This window comes from Homo sapiens, chromosome 2 (assembly GCF_000001405.40).
Source record: "Homo sapiens chromosome 2, GRCh38.p14 Primary Assembly".
NCBI classification, from domain to species: domain Eukaryota; kingdom Metazoa; phylum Chordata; class Mammalia; order Primates; family Hominidae; genus Homo; species Homo sapiens.
Window position 1 is genome coordinate 156,463,147 of NC_000002.12, and position 17,160 is coordinate 156,480,306.

Sequence of the window (17,160 nt, forward strand, 5' to 3'; positions counted from 1 at the left end):
ATCACCATATCATAGCATGTACATATGGATGGCTGTAAGTCGTCAATAATTGAATTCATGGTTAATATTATTTAAGAAGCCAAAGTGTGACTTACATTCTTGAAATATAGTATTTTAATCCAAAAGAATACAGAATTTTTTTTTTAACTGTATACTCCACTCAGATGTAAACTCTTGGAATGCAGGGATTTTTTTGTGTGTGTTCTTTGTTTGCTCAGTGCCTGACACATGATGGATGATCAGTAAATAATTATTAAATAAAACCATGAATGCAAGTTTTAATTATCTAACAGTGCTAAATAAATAGGACATTAAGATAATGCCACATTTAATGCATGAGGGTTGTTTCCCCTTCTTCATCTATTGAATGAAGAAAAACCATAAAGTAATAAACTTTTAAAGTTAAAATAGCTTTGGACATTTTGAAGGCTAGCTCATATATAGTTGGAGTGAGGATCAGCAAGTTCAAGTGATTTGCCTGAAATCGCAGAGCAAGTTAGTGGAAGAGACAGAATTACAAGCGTGTCTTTCCTTCCAGAATACCCCCTGATGATTTTCTTTTTTAATTTAGAGTTTTGGGAATACAACATAGAGAATTATATATTTTTGGGAAAGACTATAGAGTTCTTTTTTGAAAAAAAGATCAATGACAGCTTCAAAAGGAATATTGAGTCGAACCCTTTATTTTCTCTATTTATGCTATTTAAATTTTAGACCTGTCACCTCTGTGCTATTAGCTCTGTAGTGTTGATACCAAACATCTTATGCAGAATAACTAGACTATAGTACTTGAATGCTTTTCATGAGGGTTTGTGCTAGCCCTTTTAAAGAAGAAAAGAAATATCTTTTTCTTTAGTTTGGAAAGGATGCGTTATTCAACTGAGGAGAGTAAGATCTTATGACCAAGATCATTTTAGCCAAAATGACTGAGATAGAAATACAGCTTTCCTCATTATTTTTGCATAGGTGAAGGAAAATGTAGTATATTTTCTTCACTTTTTTTGGAGTGGGGATGGAGCATTTAGGAAATACATTGTTTTCACTTACTTTAAATGGGAATTTTGTTAGCAGTATGAATTACTTCAATCTGTTTCTCTCATCTGATTCTTATTTCCTTGTGAGTCAGACATTTTTAGGAAGTGTAATCAGTAAGCTAAATATTCTAATACATGATTATTTTCACTACAGTACGTCTCAGGTTTCCTTTTTCATATATGCATTGTATCTGTACTTTGGCTCTTTGTTGTAGTTCCATTTATACTTGTGGATTATTAGATGTACAGAGGAGTAAATTTTAAATGTAAATTTCAACAGGTTACAGGAGAAAAAAGACTGCAGGATGGAAAAACTAGTCAGCTTTTTTCCTAGGGATCTTCTCTCTGTTAAGGAAACAGAGTGACTGGTCTTCCCACCACAGCGCACTTCTTGATCTCTTATAACTCTCAGTCACCACTTATACATTAAATATATGTGTAGTGATGTTTATAATAGAGCTGTATTCAAATTGAGAACTTTCTTTTACAATGAACTGAACAATAACTGAAGTTATTGTGCTATAACTAATTATTATTAAAAATTCAGTCATAATTTAAAAAAATAAGCTCAGGATTTCTTAAACCATCTTCAACAGATACTTCCCCAAATATATTTCTAACGGCATATAATGCAGTTGCAACAGGAACTTTTGAAAGAATTGGTACATTTTCTTTTCTTTTTTTTTTTGAGATGGAGTCTTGCTTTGTTGCCCAGGCTGGTGTGCAGTGGCATGATCTTGGCTCACTAAAGCCTCCACCTCCTGGGTTCAAGTGATTCTCCTGCCTCAGCCTCCTGAGTAGCTGGGACTACAGGCACCCATCACAACGCCTGGCTAATTTTTGTAGTTTTAGTAGAGATGGGGCTTCACCATGTTGGCCAGGCTGGTCTCGAACTCCTGACCTCAAGTGATCCACCCGCCACGGCCTCCCAGAGTGCTGGGATTACAGGCATGAGCCACCGTGCCCGGCCTGGACTTTGTTTTCTTACAAAACATTTTACAGTATGTATTCAACAGCCATGATTGTAGTTACTCTGTAAGGCTTTGTTAGTTTTAATAAATTTTGAGGGAAGGCTTGATATGTTTTAATCTTAAGACAGACATTTAAAACTCTTTGATTTGCAGCTTATTTTATAGCAAGGTAAAGGACTTTTTCTTTTCTTTTCTTTCTTTCTTTCTTTCTTTTTTTTTTTTTTTTTTGAGACAGGATCTCATTCTATCACCTGTGCTGGAGTGCAGTGGTGCCCTCATAGCTCACTGCAGCCTTGAATTCCTGGGTTCAAACAATCCTCCCACTTCAGTCTCCTGAGTAACTGGTACTACAGGCATGTGCCATCATGCCCAGCTAATTAAAAAGATTTTTTCTGTAGAGACAGGGTCTCGCTTCCCAGGTTGGTCTTGAACTCCTGGCCTCAAGGGGTCCTCCTGCCTGGGTTTCTCTGAGTCTGGGATTATAGATGTTAGCCACCCACCACTCCAGGCCTTTTTCTTGTTTTGATTACTGAAGTAGATTCTGTAACAGCATGTAAAATGTAAAAAGAGCGTTTATGCTGCCAAAGGAATGTCAAACATTATCTTAACCCAATAAAGGGTTAGTAAAGGGGCGGAAAGACTGAAAGAAGCACAGGACTAGTATGGTCTGTTTGACTAATGAACTTCTTTTGAATGTTATCAATGAATGTGTTTCATTGATAACATTCCTGCCTCCTCAAGGCAGATTTAAAGTTTTTCTCCCTGTTGTGCTATCTCCTTTTCATGCTAAGTCAACCATTTCTTGTTAGTTGATATAAATGCAAGTTTGTTTAATTCTGTACTAGGCATGTTATCTACTCAGCTCCTTAACCTGACTTGTGTTTTTACAAGGGGTTGGCATTTTTGTGAAGGAATGCTTCAAGTTTTCACTTGGGAGGGACATTTTATTTTGGGGCTCTCAGGGTTACCCTCAATTATGTATATGGTAAGCAAAGAAGGCAGAGATAGATTTTAATGGAATATTAAAGATAGGATTGTACGACTTTAAACACAAATCCGTGAATATATCTGGAGTGATACAGAGTATATATTAACTTTGCTTTTAAAATGAATTTAAAATGGAATACAAATTCACTTGCGTGCACTAACTATAGTTCTTTATGACTTTTATAGCAATTGTATGGAAAGCAAACATAATAGAAACTATTCTATTATGAATTAAGCTGTGGTTATTTGCATTTAATGAATATAATGAGCTTCATTGATTTCTTATAATTCTATAGTGAACCTCATGAAATAAAGAAAAAGGGTCAAATTTGTGACTATAGTTCCAGTGTGTATTTTAGAAATGGTAGAAAGCATAAGTATGTTATATGGCAATTGCCTTGGAAATGGCATATATTTTGTAAAAAATCGGGTCTTAAATAATGCATCACTACTAGAGTGCAAACGTGTATCCTTGTGTTCCTCTAAGGCTCCCTCCCTTTCAATGCATTTTTTGTTTTAGAGGACTTTGTGAAATAAATGCTCGATTAACAGTTATGACATTATTAAACTTAACCCCCCATCACACATCAGAAATCCCATGTAATAATGTTTGCAACAAATTTTTTATAAACAGAGACTTTTAACTGGCTCACTTAAAATAGTTATTGACCTTATTTTCTCCTTCTTTTGTACCTTTTACTTGCATTTTTTGAACTCTGCCCCTGAAACTAGCTCAACTCGTTTCTTAGCCAGCTTCTCCTGTCAAGCTTCCAGGCTCCTGCCCTCCTTTGAGGCTGAGAAGTGGTCCTGGGCCAACCTCGTTCTCACTGTTGGTTTGCTTCTAAAATGATATAATTGACATAAAGGTGACCCAGGGAGACTCAGAATTTTCTAGCTTTACACTATGTGAATTGATATAAATATAGTGTTTATTTTCTTTCGCTTTCTCTTTGTTTCATGATTTTTTTTTTTTCTCATTCTTCTTTATGGAAATACTCTTCCTCTGCTAAAATTGTTTACTTTCTCTTGGGCTGGGGTGGGCCCTTCTGGCAGTAATTGCCTGGGGAAATAAATGGATTGGAAGTGAAAGAACCTGCCCTTCTTGGAAGCAGGCTGGCCTTTTGATAGGGTGTGGAAGTCAGGGACAAAGCTAGAGTCTGGATGCCTTCCCAGCAATGTGTGAGTGTGTTGCTTTAGCTTCTTCCACCACAGTCCAAAAATTTGTGTATTTAGAACCTGAGGATTATGTTTCACACATTTCTGTTGACTTTTACTTGGTTTTTTGATTTATCTTGCGTTATCAGGATAATGCTTTTCTCAGTGACTTCGGAAAAGCCTTTTTGTTTGTTGTTTGATATCCTGTTCAGTGTATATATTCTTTACAACTATAGGTTGTTATTGTTGTGTTTGTGTGTTTTTGCTTTTGATATAATAGAGAAAAGGCTAAAGAAGGTGACGGAAGGATAAAAGTGTCTTCTGTTTTCTTAGGACTTGATACATTCACTTCTTTCCATAGGGATTGTCTTTTGTGAAGAACCCTTGGGTCAATTTCCTGTCCAGTCTTGGCCTAAATCCTTTTTAAAAGCAACAACAACAAAAGAGGAGAATTCACCTTCAGTTTACAGAATAGACCTCCTCTCTGTTTCCAGAGAACAGGCTAATGTGCCTCTTCTGTTTGACTGTTTTGTTCATTTAGGTCTGATAGCTTTCAAAAAGTACACTTGAGGGCTCTCTGTGTGTTTCTGTAGGAATCACATGTGTAAGATACAGGTGTGTAAGTCCTTCTCTGCTTGGCTGGGGGGAATGCGTTTGCAGGCAGAGTACTAATCATGATCCCCACAGTAAAGTAAAACTTGGGGAAAGAGTAGTACATGGTATGCTTTGATTGTTACTTGTCTGAGTAAGCACTGTATCAGCATATGTTTGGTGTGTCTGAACTATGAGATACCTCCTTCAAGGGAATTGTACAAAACATTTGTTATCACATTAATTGGAATAATAAAAGGTTTGCTTGCTAAAACACATCTAGTTCAAGCCACCCAGTGATCTTGACTTTTATAGTTAAAAGGGTGCTGCTGGGAGGGAAGAGGCTTTTGAGCTCACTCCTTCTTCTGTTTTACTGTGGACTTGCTGTCAAGCTATCCATGATTACAGACCCGTTTGCTAGGACCTTCTCTGATGAGGTTCTATATGCTTATTTTGTAAGACTCATGCACTTTTCTTCAATAAGTCACTGGATTTGTATGCGAGTGTGAGGCCTGGCCCTCTGAGTTGTGCCTTCCATGGGTGTGACAGTGTGACACGACTCAAAATAGTTGAAGGAGTGGGTTTTGCATGCACAGCTACAGGAGCAGGTGGCTGCACAGATGAAGTGTAAGGAGCATTTGCTACCTTTGGACCACAAAAGGCTTAGGTAAAGGGCTTAGTGATTAAAGGGCTACCTCTAGGTTACATCTTGGGGTTTTTATTTAATGTTTGAAATGCCTTGTACATCTGGATTTCTCAGTGTAGGTGATTGGAAGAGCATGGATCGCTTTTATTTATTTTTAATTTCTTTTTTCTTTTTAATTTTTCTGGGTACATAGTATGTATACATATTTTTGGGTACATGAGATAATTTGCTACAGGCATGCAATGAGTAACAGTAATATCAGGGTAAATGGGTATCCATTACCTTAAGCATTTATTTCTTTGTGTTACGAACATTCTCTTAGTTATTTTTAAATGTACAGTAAGTTATTGTTGACTGCAGTCACCCTGTTCTATCAACTTCCAGATCTTATTCATTCTAACTATGTTTTTATACTCATTAACCATCCCCACCCCAACCTCACTACCATCTCCAACCTTTGGTAGCCATCCTCTACTCTCTGACTCTCTGTCTCCATGAGTTCATTTGTTTTTATTTTTAGCTCCCACAAATGAGTGAGAATATGCAAAATTTGTCCTTCTGTGCCTTATTTATTTCACTTAACATGATGTCCTCCAGTTTTACCCGTGTTGTTGCAAATGAAATGATCTCATTCTTTTCTTTTTTGAGACGGAGTCTCTCGCTCTGTCGCCCAGGCTGGAGTGCAGTGGCGTGATCTCAGCTCACTGCAACCTCCACCTCCCAGGTTCACGTGATTTTCCTCCTGTCTCAGCCTCCTGAGTATCTGGGATTACAGGCACCCACCACCACGCCTGGCTAATTTTTTTGTATTTTTAGTAGAGACGGAGTTTCACCATGTTGGCCAGGCTGGTTTCGAACTTCGGAACTCAAGTGATCTGCCCACCTTGGCATCCCAAAGTGCTAGGATTACAGGTGTGAGCCACTGTGCCCGGCCTGATCTCATTCTTTTTTATGGCTGAATACTACTTCATTGTGTATATGTACCACATTTTTGTTATCCATTTGTCTGTTGATGGACACTTAGGTTGATTGAAAATCTTGGCTACTGTGACTAGTGCTGCAATAAACATGGGAGTGCAATATGGGATGCCTTTATGTCTTGCTGGAGAATGCATGCCCCGAGGACAGCAAGGCTGGTCGTTGAAATTACTCTTCTGTAATTGATCTTTGAGCTGTACTCTCCGCCCCTCCATTGGTCATGCTTGTAAGGGATGGAGAGAAATATGCTTACTTCTATGCTGGCATAAGAATCAAAACCCTGAGAAGTTCTAAACTAATGGAGAGCATGGGGATTAGAAAGGTAATTGAGGTTTCTATATAAGAAACCAGAAAGATAGGAGAGTTTTTGTAAACATGAAGGTGTTACAGGAAGGGGGTCCCCATCCAGATGCCTAGAGAGGGTTCTTGGATCTCACACAAGAGTTAAGGGTGAGTCCATAAAGTGAAAGTGAAGGAATAAAAGAATGACTACTCCATACACACAGGGCTGCTGGTTGCCCATTTTTATGGTTATTTCTTGATTATATGCTAAACAAGGGGTGGCTTATTTTACCCAGCTCCTATTCAAGATGGAGTTCCTCTGGTTCACACGCCTCTGACAAAGGGACCCAGGGCTTATTCCACAGAGGAGTGACAAATGTATTTGCATGGAATCTTTTTCTTTTTCTTTTTCTTTTTTTTTTAAGACAGGGTTTTGCTCTGTCGCCCAGGCTGGAGTGCAGTGGTATGATCATGGCTCATTGAAGCCTTGACCTCCTGGGCACACATGATTCCTCCCACTTTGGCCTCTTGAATAGCTGAAACTAGAGGTGTGCGCCACCATGCCCAGCTAATTTTTAAATTTTCTTTAATAGAGATGGAGTCTTGCTTTGTTGCCCAAGCTGGTCTTGAACTCCTGATATCAAAGAATCCTCCTGCCTTGGCCTCCCAAATTGCTGGGATTACAGGTATAAGCCACTGGTCCAGCCCATTTGCATGATTCTTACTTATGCTAAATTTGTATTTTGATAAGTAAGGCTTCTGGAAGAGAGAAGACAGGGAGATGAGTAGGAGAGTGAGTACTTTTTAAAGAGATTTCAGAGGCCAGGAAGTGCGATCTGGTTCTGGAATAAATTTGCTTGTGCATAGTTGCCTTGCCTATGAATGGGAGGAGGTAGAAGTGGTGGATGCACTCAGGGACTTACATGAAATAGGATGTGAGGAGTTGTTCTTTGTTAAAAGTCACTGTCTATAATGGGAGCCCTACAAGGACATCTAAGAATTCATCTGAGCCAGATAAGTTGCAGCAGTCAGGTACAAACAAAGGTCAGCAAACTTTGAGAAGTGGCAAATTTAGTTTTTGTTTGCTAGCAGTAAGTACATTTTGTTGTGTAGCAATTACATCTGTCAGTTCTAGGCAAAATTTTCCCAAGTACCTATTACTCTTGGGAGTTTTAGACCCAAATATTCATCTGTGCTGTTTTCTGAGTAGATGTTCCGTCAAGATCTCAAATTTTCTTAGTTGCAAGCTGAGCTTCTCTTCTTCCTTAAACCTGCTTCTCTTTCTAGATCTTAATATTGAAATCTTGGGGTCATTTTCCAGCTGCCCAAACTAAAACCACTTATTGTGTTCAGTCTCTTCCTGCTGCCTCCTGTAATCGGTTGTCAGGTCTTGTCATGCTGTCTAATTGAGTGCTGTCCTTAGACAGTTGTGCAAAACATCAGTCTCTAGATTTGCACTCTTTAATGTTGCCTTAAACCAGGCTCTTCTCTCACATGGGATCTATTTCATTGCCCTCTAATTGGTCTCTCTGTCTTCGTAAGCTTCAACACTAAAAATCTACTTGAACAGTCTTTACAGAACGTTAGACAAAACATCTTACTTCCTTAATCTACAGCCTCTACTCCCCGTTGCCAACAGGATATCATAGAAATATTTTACTTCACGTGTACACAGTCTTCCTCTCTCTTCCCTCTGGACTTCTTTTTAAACACCATTTCTAGCTGTACATCATCTCCAGCCAAACGAGATAACTATTTGTATGCCTAGAACGTACCATGATGCTCCCCTTTCTCCACCAATTGTCTTTCTCTATAACGTTCCCTACTCACTCCCCTCCAAATTTTTTCCCCTTCAAGACCCTTCTCCAAAATCCTGTCTTCACTGAAGCCTTCTTTAATTCTTTTAGTCAGAGTCAATTTCTTGCAACATTAAAATGATATAGCACCTTGCTTTTTTTTTCTATCAGACTATAACACTCAGTATAGCACAACTAGTTATAAGACAGAGTGCAGAGTTACAAGACACACTTTGATATTTAATCCTACAGATAGATTAATTGCTTGTGGGCAGTTAGTTGATAAACTCACAGATATATTTAGTTGAGCACCATTTGTTTAGGTTTTGCCAACTGAGCTGGTGTTCTCCTTGCAAGAATTAGAGCTAGCTCTGGTCTATGTCAATGCAGCAGCTGGTCCTGAGTAAGCATATATGTGATTTAATTAAAAGGCTATAAAACATGGATTTGAAGCTATGATAAATAAGCTAATTCTATTTTTTAAAATTTTTTCACCTCTGGTTTCCTTGAACATTTATTGCAGAAGTTAGTAAAGATTTGTGTATATTTTTGGTCCCCTTCTTTGCTAGTTTTCTAGTAAAGCTGTTACTTAGAAGGAAATAATCTTTTTTTTTTGTTTGTAATCATTGTGAAAACGTTTCTCCTTACAATGGTAAATGGGTACATGTTGTCCACAGCATTTGGTTTATATAGTTCTAAATTTCATTCTTTCAGCATTAAAACAAAGTTCTTTTTTAAATTTTTTATTTTTTGAGACAGGGTCTTACTCTGTCACCCAGACTGGAGTGCAGTGGCGCAGTCTCGGCTCACTGCAGTCTCCGCCTCCGAGGCTCAAGGGATTCTCTTGCCTCAGGCTCCCGAGTAGCTGGGATTACAGGCGCATGCCACTACTGCCTGGCTAATTTTTGTATTTTTAGTAGAGACAAGGTTTCAGCATGTTGGCCAGGCTGGTCTTGAACTCCTGACCTCAAATGATCTACCCACCTCAGCCTCCCAAAGTGCTGGGATTACAGATGTGAGCCACCGTGCCCGGCCCTAAAACAAAGGTCTTACATTACCTGGCAGAAGATTACTAGTAGATACTTTGCTAGAGACTTCTTCATTGCCTTGGAGATTAACCCAAATGCCAAGGGACTGAACATTTGGGTGACTTTGAGAATAGGGCCTTCTTTTGGGAGTGACAACAAAATATGGTATAGCTTTTGGGGAGAAGTTGCCTTTTGAGACCAAAGGCAGGACAGAACCACCAGGGCTCAAGAACATAAACTCAGTCTTGTTTTCTCACTTAGTAGGCAGTGACTTTGGGGAAATCCCCCATTTCCTCTGAGCTACCACTGCCCCTTTTATGAAATTAGATGTTGTGAGGGTGAAATGAGCTGATGTGTATAAAGAATTAAAAGCACAGTACCTGTTACCTAGTAAATAATAAATGGTGGTGATTATTATTGTAACATTCATAACAATAACAACACTCATAATGATAATCTTAGGAAAGTCAAATGAAACTGGCTGATTCTTGCCTTTGACTTTGAGCTAGCCAGATGACCGTACAGAAGGATTTGATCACAGTAGAAATAATGAGCCCTCAAGCATACATTATTTTTTTAAATTATGGAAAAAGGAAAACTCTTTATTGATTATAGTTGATATTATTGCTAACTCTGCAAGATGACATGAGAATGTAGTTTTTTGATAGTATTAGTGGCTCATTGGGAAAATGCATGAAAATATCTTCCTTTGCAAGTTTTGGTCTCTGACAAATCAAATTAAAACAATACTATCAGGTAGGCAGGGAACATAGGGACCCACACATTTGGAAATACTAGCTTCAAACTTAACTGGCTGAATGAACACCTCTGAGAATGAAACATTTTCATTGACTGTGTTGTATATAACTTCCCTGAGTTGGCCATGTTGATGTGTGGTATCCTTTGTGAGGTCAACAATGACATTATCAACAAGACAGAAGCAATGATAAGTCAATCAGTCACAACACTCATATCCTAGGGACCACCACACTGCTATGAGTCAGGCATGTGCGTTGTTTAAGGTAAATAGTAAATAGAACTAGGACTTTATTCTCTGTCTCCAGTTGTCAGAGGAACCCAGTTAGCCTTGAGATAGCATGCTATCTCTTGGCTGCTAGGGCTTACATTGTTGTGTGATAGGCACCCATGTGAATGTTTACAACAGTACATTGATTGGTGATAGTGAGCTATGACAAATGGGTACCTGCTAAGTTAGGGTTTTTACTATCCCAGCAACCTAGGATATAAGGTTTTGCCTAGGGTTGACTGAATGATGAATGGTGGCCCCTAGCCAGCATACACCAACTTTCCTGCATAATTTGGGAAAGAGAAGATGGTTGATATAGCAAAGGGACAGTAAAGAAGAGACCTCCAGCAGCAGAGTACATATGCTTGTGAAATATTTTCCTAGTAAGAATCATTAAAATTTTTTTTAGAGACAGAGTCTTGTTCTGTCTCCCAGGCTGGAGTGCAGTGGCACAATTGCAGCTCACTACAAGCTCAAACTCCTGGGCTCTAATCCTGGGAAGAATCTTAATTAAAAAGATAAAGTTTAGAATTTAGGAGTTTGTCAGGAAGAATGAGATCAGAAGAAAAAAATTTTAAAAATGCCACCACATATCAGTATATAATTTATAGTATCCTAAAATGAGTTTTCTATAGGATCATAGTTATCAACTATATTGCAATTCTTTATTTAGGATAGTATGATAATAGATACAGTTTATTCAGTATGGACCCAAATATTTAACCGTATCATAATTTATGTTGAGATACTGTTTTTTTAGTATCCTAAGTTAAAACTACCTTCATAATAAATTGTTTTCTTGAGTTGTGAGCTATCAGTAGAATGTAACGTGTGTTGTCCAGACAGGCCAGTGCTCCACCCCTACAAGGAAATAGGGTAGTGGCTTCCCTGTTTCCCTGCTTTTGTGAATGTAAAGTCTTAGGCAGGTCAAATTACTCAACTCTAGAATTTTTTTTAGTTGATCACACAGGATTATCTTTTTACGTTTAACAGTAAAAGCGGACAAAAGGATTTTTGATGGAATTTTCATTTTTATGCAATCTTCTTAGTTTCTGAAAGAGTTAAAGAATAATTTTTAAGTCCTCATCAAAACTTTAGAAAATTCCATTATCAGTCCAGTAGTGGAAAACAAGTGAGAGGAAAGAAAGTTAAGAGCTAAGACAATGCAGAACTTGAGAAATATTCAGTGGAGCAGAGTGTGGGGTGGCTCATGTTTGTAATCCTAGCACTTTGGGAAGCCAAGGTAGGAGATTGCTTGAGTCCAGTTTGGGCAACATAGCAAGACCTTGTCTCTACAGAAAAAAAAAAAAGAAGAAGAAAGAAAGAAAAAAAAATAGCCATGCATGGCGGCATGCACTTGGTAGTATCAGCTACTTGGGAGAATCACTTGCCCAGGAGTTTGATTTTATAGTTTGCTATGATTGAGCCACTGCACTCTGGCCTGGGTGACAGAGCCAGACTCAGTCTCTACAAAAAGAGAGAAAGAAAAAAATATAAATACAGAGAGCACAAATATACAGTGAGTGCTTGATCTGGAGGGTTTTCTCTTAAAATTTTGGTGTCATGCAACTCTGGCTAGAAGAAAACTTTTTCTGTTAAGTTCCCCTAATGAAAGGAATTACAGCAGGTTAAATTGGTCAGTTTGTGAAAGTCTTAAGGCATAATACCTCTGACTTCTTATCTGTAAAGTATACTCTTTTTTTTTGAGACGGAGTCTAGCTCTGTCACCCAGGTTGGAGTGCAGTGGCATGATCTCGGCTCACTGCAACCTCTGCCTCCTGGGTTCAGGCGATTCTCCTGCCTCAGCCTCCCGAGTAGCTGGGATCACAGGCATCCACCACCACGGCCTCCCAAAGTGCTGGGATTACAAGTGTGAGCCACCACGCCCAGCCGACTCTTTCAATAATAGAAATATAACACTGCTGGCTTTTGGCTGTAGTGAAAACTTCATTAGAAAGGGAAAAACTTGGGAAGGGAGTCTTACCACAATTTGAATTAAACACTTGCCAAAGAACCTGAAGCAAGCTGATGTTTATTGTCTTGTTGAGTGACCCAAGACTTCTTTCTGCTGGTTCTCCTTGAGGAGAGGATTAGGTGTTGAGCAAATTTACAAGTATAGCATGCAGTTTTGTTAAATACCCAATGACATTTCTTTTCACAGTTCTTTTGACTTTATACTGTTTAAATATCCTCAGTTATCTCTTAATTTGCTTTTCTTTCTTTAATTCCTGTCGAACCAGAAAGTAACTTTTATGTGATCAATTCCCTTGTCTAGAATTTTTTGGCTATTTATTTTGAGTTGCAGTATACACATTGGTTTGTTAGTAATTTCCTTATTTTATGTTTTCTTTTCTAGTTTAACATGGTTTCATAATCTACACAGTGTCTTATTATTGGGATGGTTATGCGATAACTATCCCAATTAACTTCTTTTTGTTTCTTATTTTTCTTTGTAGGCTAAGAAATGGCATTTCAAAAGGCAGTGAAAGGGACGATTCTTGTTGGAGGAGGTGCTCTTGCAACTGTTTTAGGACTTTCTCAGTTTGCTCATTACAGAAGGAAACAAGTAAGTAACTGTACTTGTGTTGATTACAGTATGCAACTTAAATCTGCTAAAGAGCTGTCTATGGGGAATGTGTGCACTAACGGTTTTGTTTAGAAATTACTTGTGAAGTTTCTCAGTTTGATCTGAAAGATACTAATTTAGAACAGTGCCTTAATGATCCTGGAGAACTGTGTGTATCTCCTTTTTTAAAAAGTGAATTTCTTTTTCAGGAAGCATTATTTAGCCTGTGTTTTGGCTCTTTGGTTTTTAAAAGACTGCTTCATTTATAAGTGCCAGGATTTCTTCATTTAGACTTTCCTTGTCTAATTCATCGAAATGTCTGGATACCTTCTATGTTCCTGCCAAAAGTTTGTCTTATTAGAAGGCAGGCAGCTGAGAAAGGAAATGGAAAAGAAAAGGCCCAACTGAATCCTGGTTTTATTTCTTCAAGGTTTAGTTACTTATGAAGTATTACTTTGTGTTAGGTAAAAATTTAAATGAAGGAAAGCCAGGAAAATGAGATTGGTAAGAAGTTTCCAAATATTATGAAGTGTTCAGTTTGTTTTCTTTTTTTTTCTCTTTACCTTACAACTGTGACTTCCCATAGTTCAAACTGATGCCCGGAAATAATTTTGCTGAATGGCTTTGTTCTTTTCAGGCTTGAAATGCTGGCAACCACCGTAGTAGTTAGTATCAGTCTCTTGTTCCCCCATCCCATGTCATTAGGACATTTTGTGATACTAGCTGTGTAGTGCATTTCTTTCTCAAAGATGAAGGTGAAGGAATTTGGCAAACAATTTGTAACTGAGTGATTCATTTTTCACATTTTTGTGGCTGCCTTTAAGCCATGGTTTGTCTTATACTTCTTGTTTCTGTTTCTTTGTGCTACAAGGTGGTGGAGCCAGGCGCATTGCTTGCAATCCCATATCCTGAATGAGGATCACTTTAAAAACACATATTATGGCCAGGTTCACTGACTCAAACCTGTAATCCCAGCACTTTGGGAGGCCAGGGCAGGCAGATCCCTTGAGCCCAGAAGTTTGAGACCAGCCTGGACAATATGGTGAAACCCTGTCTCTACAAAAAAATACAAAAATTAGCTGGGCGTGATGGTGTACATCTGTAGTCCCAGCTACTCTGGAGGCTGAGGTGGGAGGACTGCTTGAGCCTGGAAGGTGGAGGCTGTAGTGAGCTGAGATCATGCCACTGTACTTCAGCCTGGGTGACAAAATGAAACCCTGTCTCAATCAATCAATAAAATGCATAAATAAAATCACATATTAGGAAGAATTAGTATGCTGGCCTATCATTAAAAAACCCAACAAGCCAATTTTTATGTGATTCTTGCTAAAGATGGGTGATACCGAAAGTCTTTTGATTAGCAATAGTCTTTTGATTAGTGTTAGTCTTTTTCTGCATTCTGAACTGTGAGGACATCACTCTCAATGCATGTATGTTGCAGTTTTTATTTTTTGAATTGACACATAATCATTATACATATTGATTGGGTTCATAGTGGAGTTTTGATACGTACAATGGTATTATTAATTCACTGACTTGGTATTGAAACTCTTCCTCATCCATTGATCATGCTTGATGTACTATTTCTTTTAAAAGATTGCCTTGGTTCCTTAAAAGCAAGTGTGAAAAGATGTGGCTTCTGCTGAGGCTATTTCAGAAGTGCACTTCTGTTTGGGACATGGGCATTAAGGGATTAGATTACTTCTGCCATCTTTACTGGTGCTATCTGAAATGATACTGAAAAATGCCGATGCCAAAGGTCACAATATCTAATATGATGAGTTGTTGCTAAATTTATATGTGGTTTATATCTTTTAACCACAGTAAGCATGTTCTACTTCAGAGTTTATAGCTTAAATTTGTACCTAGGTAACACTGTTTTATCCCTTTTTTTGGTTTGATTTCTCTCTAATAATTGATCTTAAAGAATAGAATAAACAGAAGAGACTCTGGCCCCAAGCAGTCAAGTTATAGGTGGATTTTATTCAGTAAAATCAAGGCAAAATAAAGACCTATTGATTCCTGGGACATTTTGTCATTTTATCTTTCCTGAGTTAGACATCCTGACCACCCTAATAGCCAAATGAAATGGATAGCAGCAGCTTGAAGTCATTTATAATTTTAACCTGACAAGTTCTGTTGAAAAAGATTACTACAGGCATATGCAATCAATGAGTTGCATAAGAAATCCAACTATGTGCATTTCTTTTCTGGTGATTCCTGTCCCTTTAAGATACTGCCATTAGCATGTATTTGGGGGGTAGCAGGTGCGATGTAGCCATAGGGACTGGCAAAAAATAATAATAATAATAAAAAATAAAAGCAAGAATGAGAAGAGGAAACAACCTATTCCAGACATTGACATAAAATGACCACAGGCCTCCATTAACTCAGCTGTCCTCTCTCAGAAAATATCTGCCAATAAGAGCCATTCTAGCGGGGGGGAATTTTCCTGACTTCAATAGTCAAAAAAAAATCTGCCCTTTGAGATACATTAATTGGCTACACTTTTGTTTGTAGAAGCTGGGGCCTTAAATGTGACTAGGTATGCTCCATTTTTCTGCAGAGTGATGTTTAAGTATTGGCTTGTTACAGGTATATTTACCTACTGTATTTTTGTATTTTTTCTAGTTTCCTAAGAAGATTCCAACTGATAAACTGCCGTTTATTAAGAATAAGTTAGTTTTGAAACCCCAAGTTCCTGATGTCCTAGAGAGCCACCTATTGACTTTGGTTCTGGCACATTTTGCTGTGTTCTTGCATGCTCTGTCTTCCTGGCCCCTGGCTTGTGCCATTTGGTACTCCCAGGACAAAGCTTCTTCCCTGAAATAAAAGCAGGGGCTATATTCTAAATACAAATGGATTGAATATAAAAGTTGGTACATTGTTAAAACATTTTTGGTGATGAGATAGTACTATGAGTGTTTAGGTGCCAGGTCAGCTCCTGAAAACCTTTGAGTCAATTCTGTAGTTAAATTACCTTATATATGTAAAGAAAACAATTGTATATTCTTTAAAAATTAATTAAACATAAGACAGATTGAAATTGAATAAGATGTGGTTTCACTTACCTTTAATGCAGTTGCCTGAATCAGAGCCATTGTAGGTGGGAGAATAGAGGCCTCCATGGAGACTGGTGTTTCTGGGAGCAGGTTAGGGGTTAGAGGTGGTAGCAATGATGCTTTTGTCTCACTCTACTTCATAGTATGGCTTTTCTTCATACAAGCATATTAACAATGCTATTACTTAGGTTTATCAATGATGAATAGTGCCCACTGTTGAGCCAAGTGAACTCTAGAGGTTTATTATTTTTATTTTCTAAGGGAAACAGGTCAGATTTAGAAGAGATAGAGGAATGTGAGGGTTGTTATAGCCTAAGGAGAGGGCAATTATTATTATTATTCTTTTGGAGCTGAGCAGCCTAAATCTTCAATTCCAACCAAGGAAGTTGATGAGGAAAGGAGATGAAGGTTGGCTGACTTCTTTTGCTTGTGTCCACCTGCAGAGGTTTGTGGCCACAGATAACATCCACATTCCAGGCCTTCCTCAGTTAAGCATCTGAGGGCTTTTAGCGTGGTCTTAGAGTGGCTTCTTCTTCATTTTCTTGTCCCCTTTTCTTTATTTTCCACCCATAAGCAGGTGACAGTTTCCACAAAGGGAGCTTGAGTTTTCTTCTCCCCAGACCAGCTGTATGCCAAGGAACAAGAGTCTTAGTACTGCGATATAAGCATTTTACCACTCAAAGAAACCAACCCCACTGGGAATGGAGCAAGCAGAGACACTCTGTGGTGGTGTGGAGATTTTTTAGATCAAGTTGATTGTGATTCACTATTTAGTATAGGTTGGTTTAATAATACACTTTTAATTGGATGAAACTTGGAGGTCATCTTATCCAGTCTAAGGTCTACTGAAAGGAAGTAGCACTTCATAGAGGAGTCTCCTTTTTCTAATTCCAGGCTGGTGGGAGAATGGAGTAGATGAAGAGGGAAATTTAAATTAGGAAAAGGGGTCATGGGATACTTTTAGAACAAGTAAACCTTTTTGAGCAACAGCAGTAGAGAGCATTAAAGTCAGGGCTCCATGAGGAGTCCTCAGGAAG

The 17,160-nt window shown here is 38.3% G+C and overlaps 1 protein-coding gene across 8 annotated transcripts in view; it reads left to right on the top strand.

Annotated features, from left to right (window-relative positions):
• GPD2 (glycerol-3-phosphate dehydrogenase 2) overlaps positions 1-17,160 on the top strand; it is a 186,123-nt gene that overhangs the window by 62,866 nt on the left and 106,097 nt on the right. For 6 of the 8 annotated variants that reach the window (XM_047443963.1, XM_011510977.3, NM_001083112.3 and 3 more), the window contains exon 2: positions 12,952-13,061. In XM_047443963.1, coding sequence (XP_047299919.1) covers positions 12,960-13,061 — 102 coding nt within the window. In that variant the 5' untranslated portion in view covers positions 12,952-12,959. Of the gene's footprint in view, positions 1-7,237; positions 7,331-10,425; positions 10,491-12,951; positions 13,062-17,160 lie in introns of those variants that run through there. The other 2 variants (XM_024452798.2, XM_005246469.3) reach the window with 2 other exon arrangements.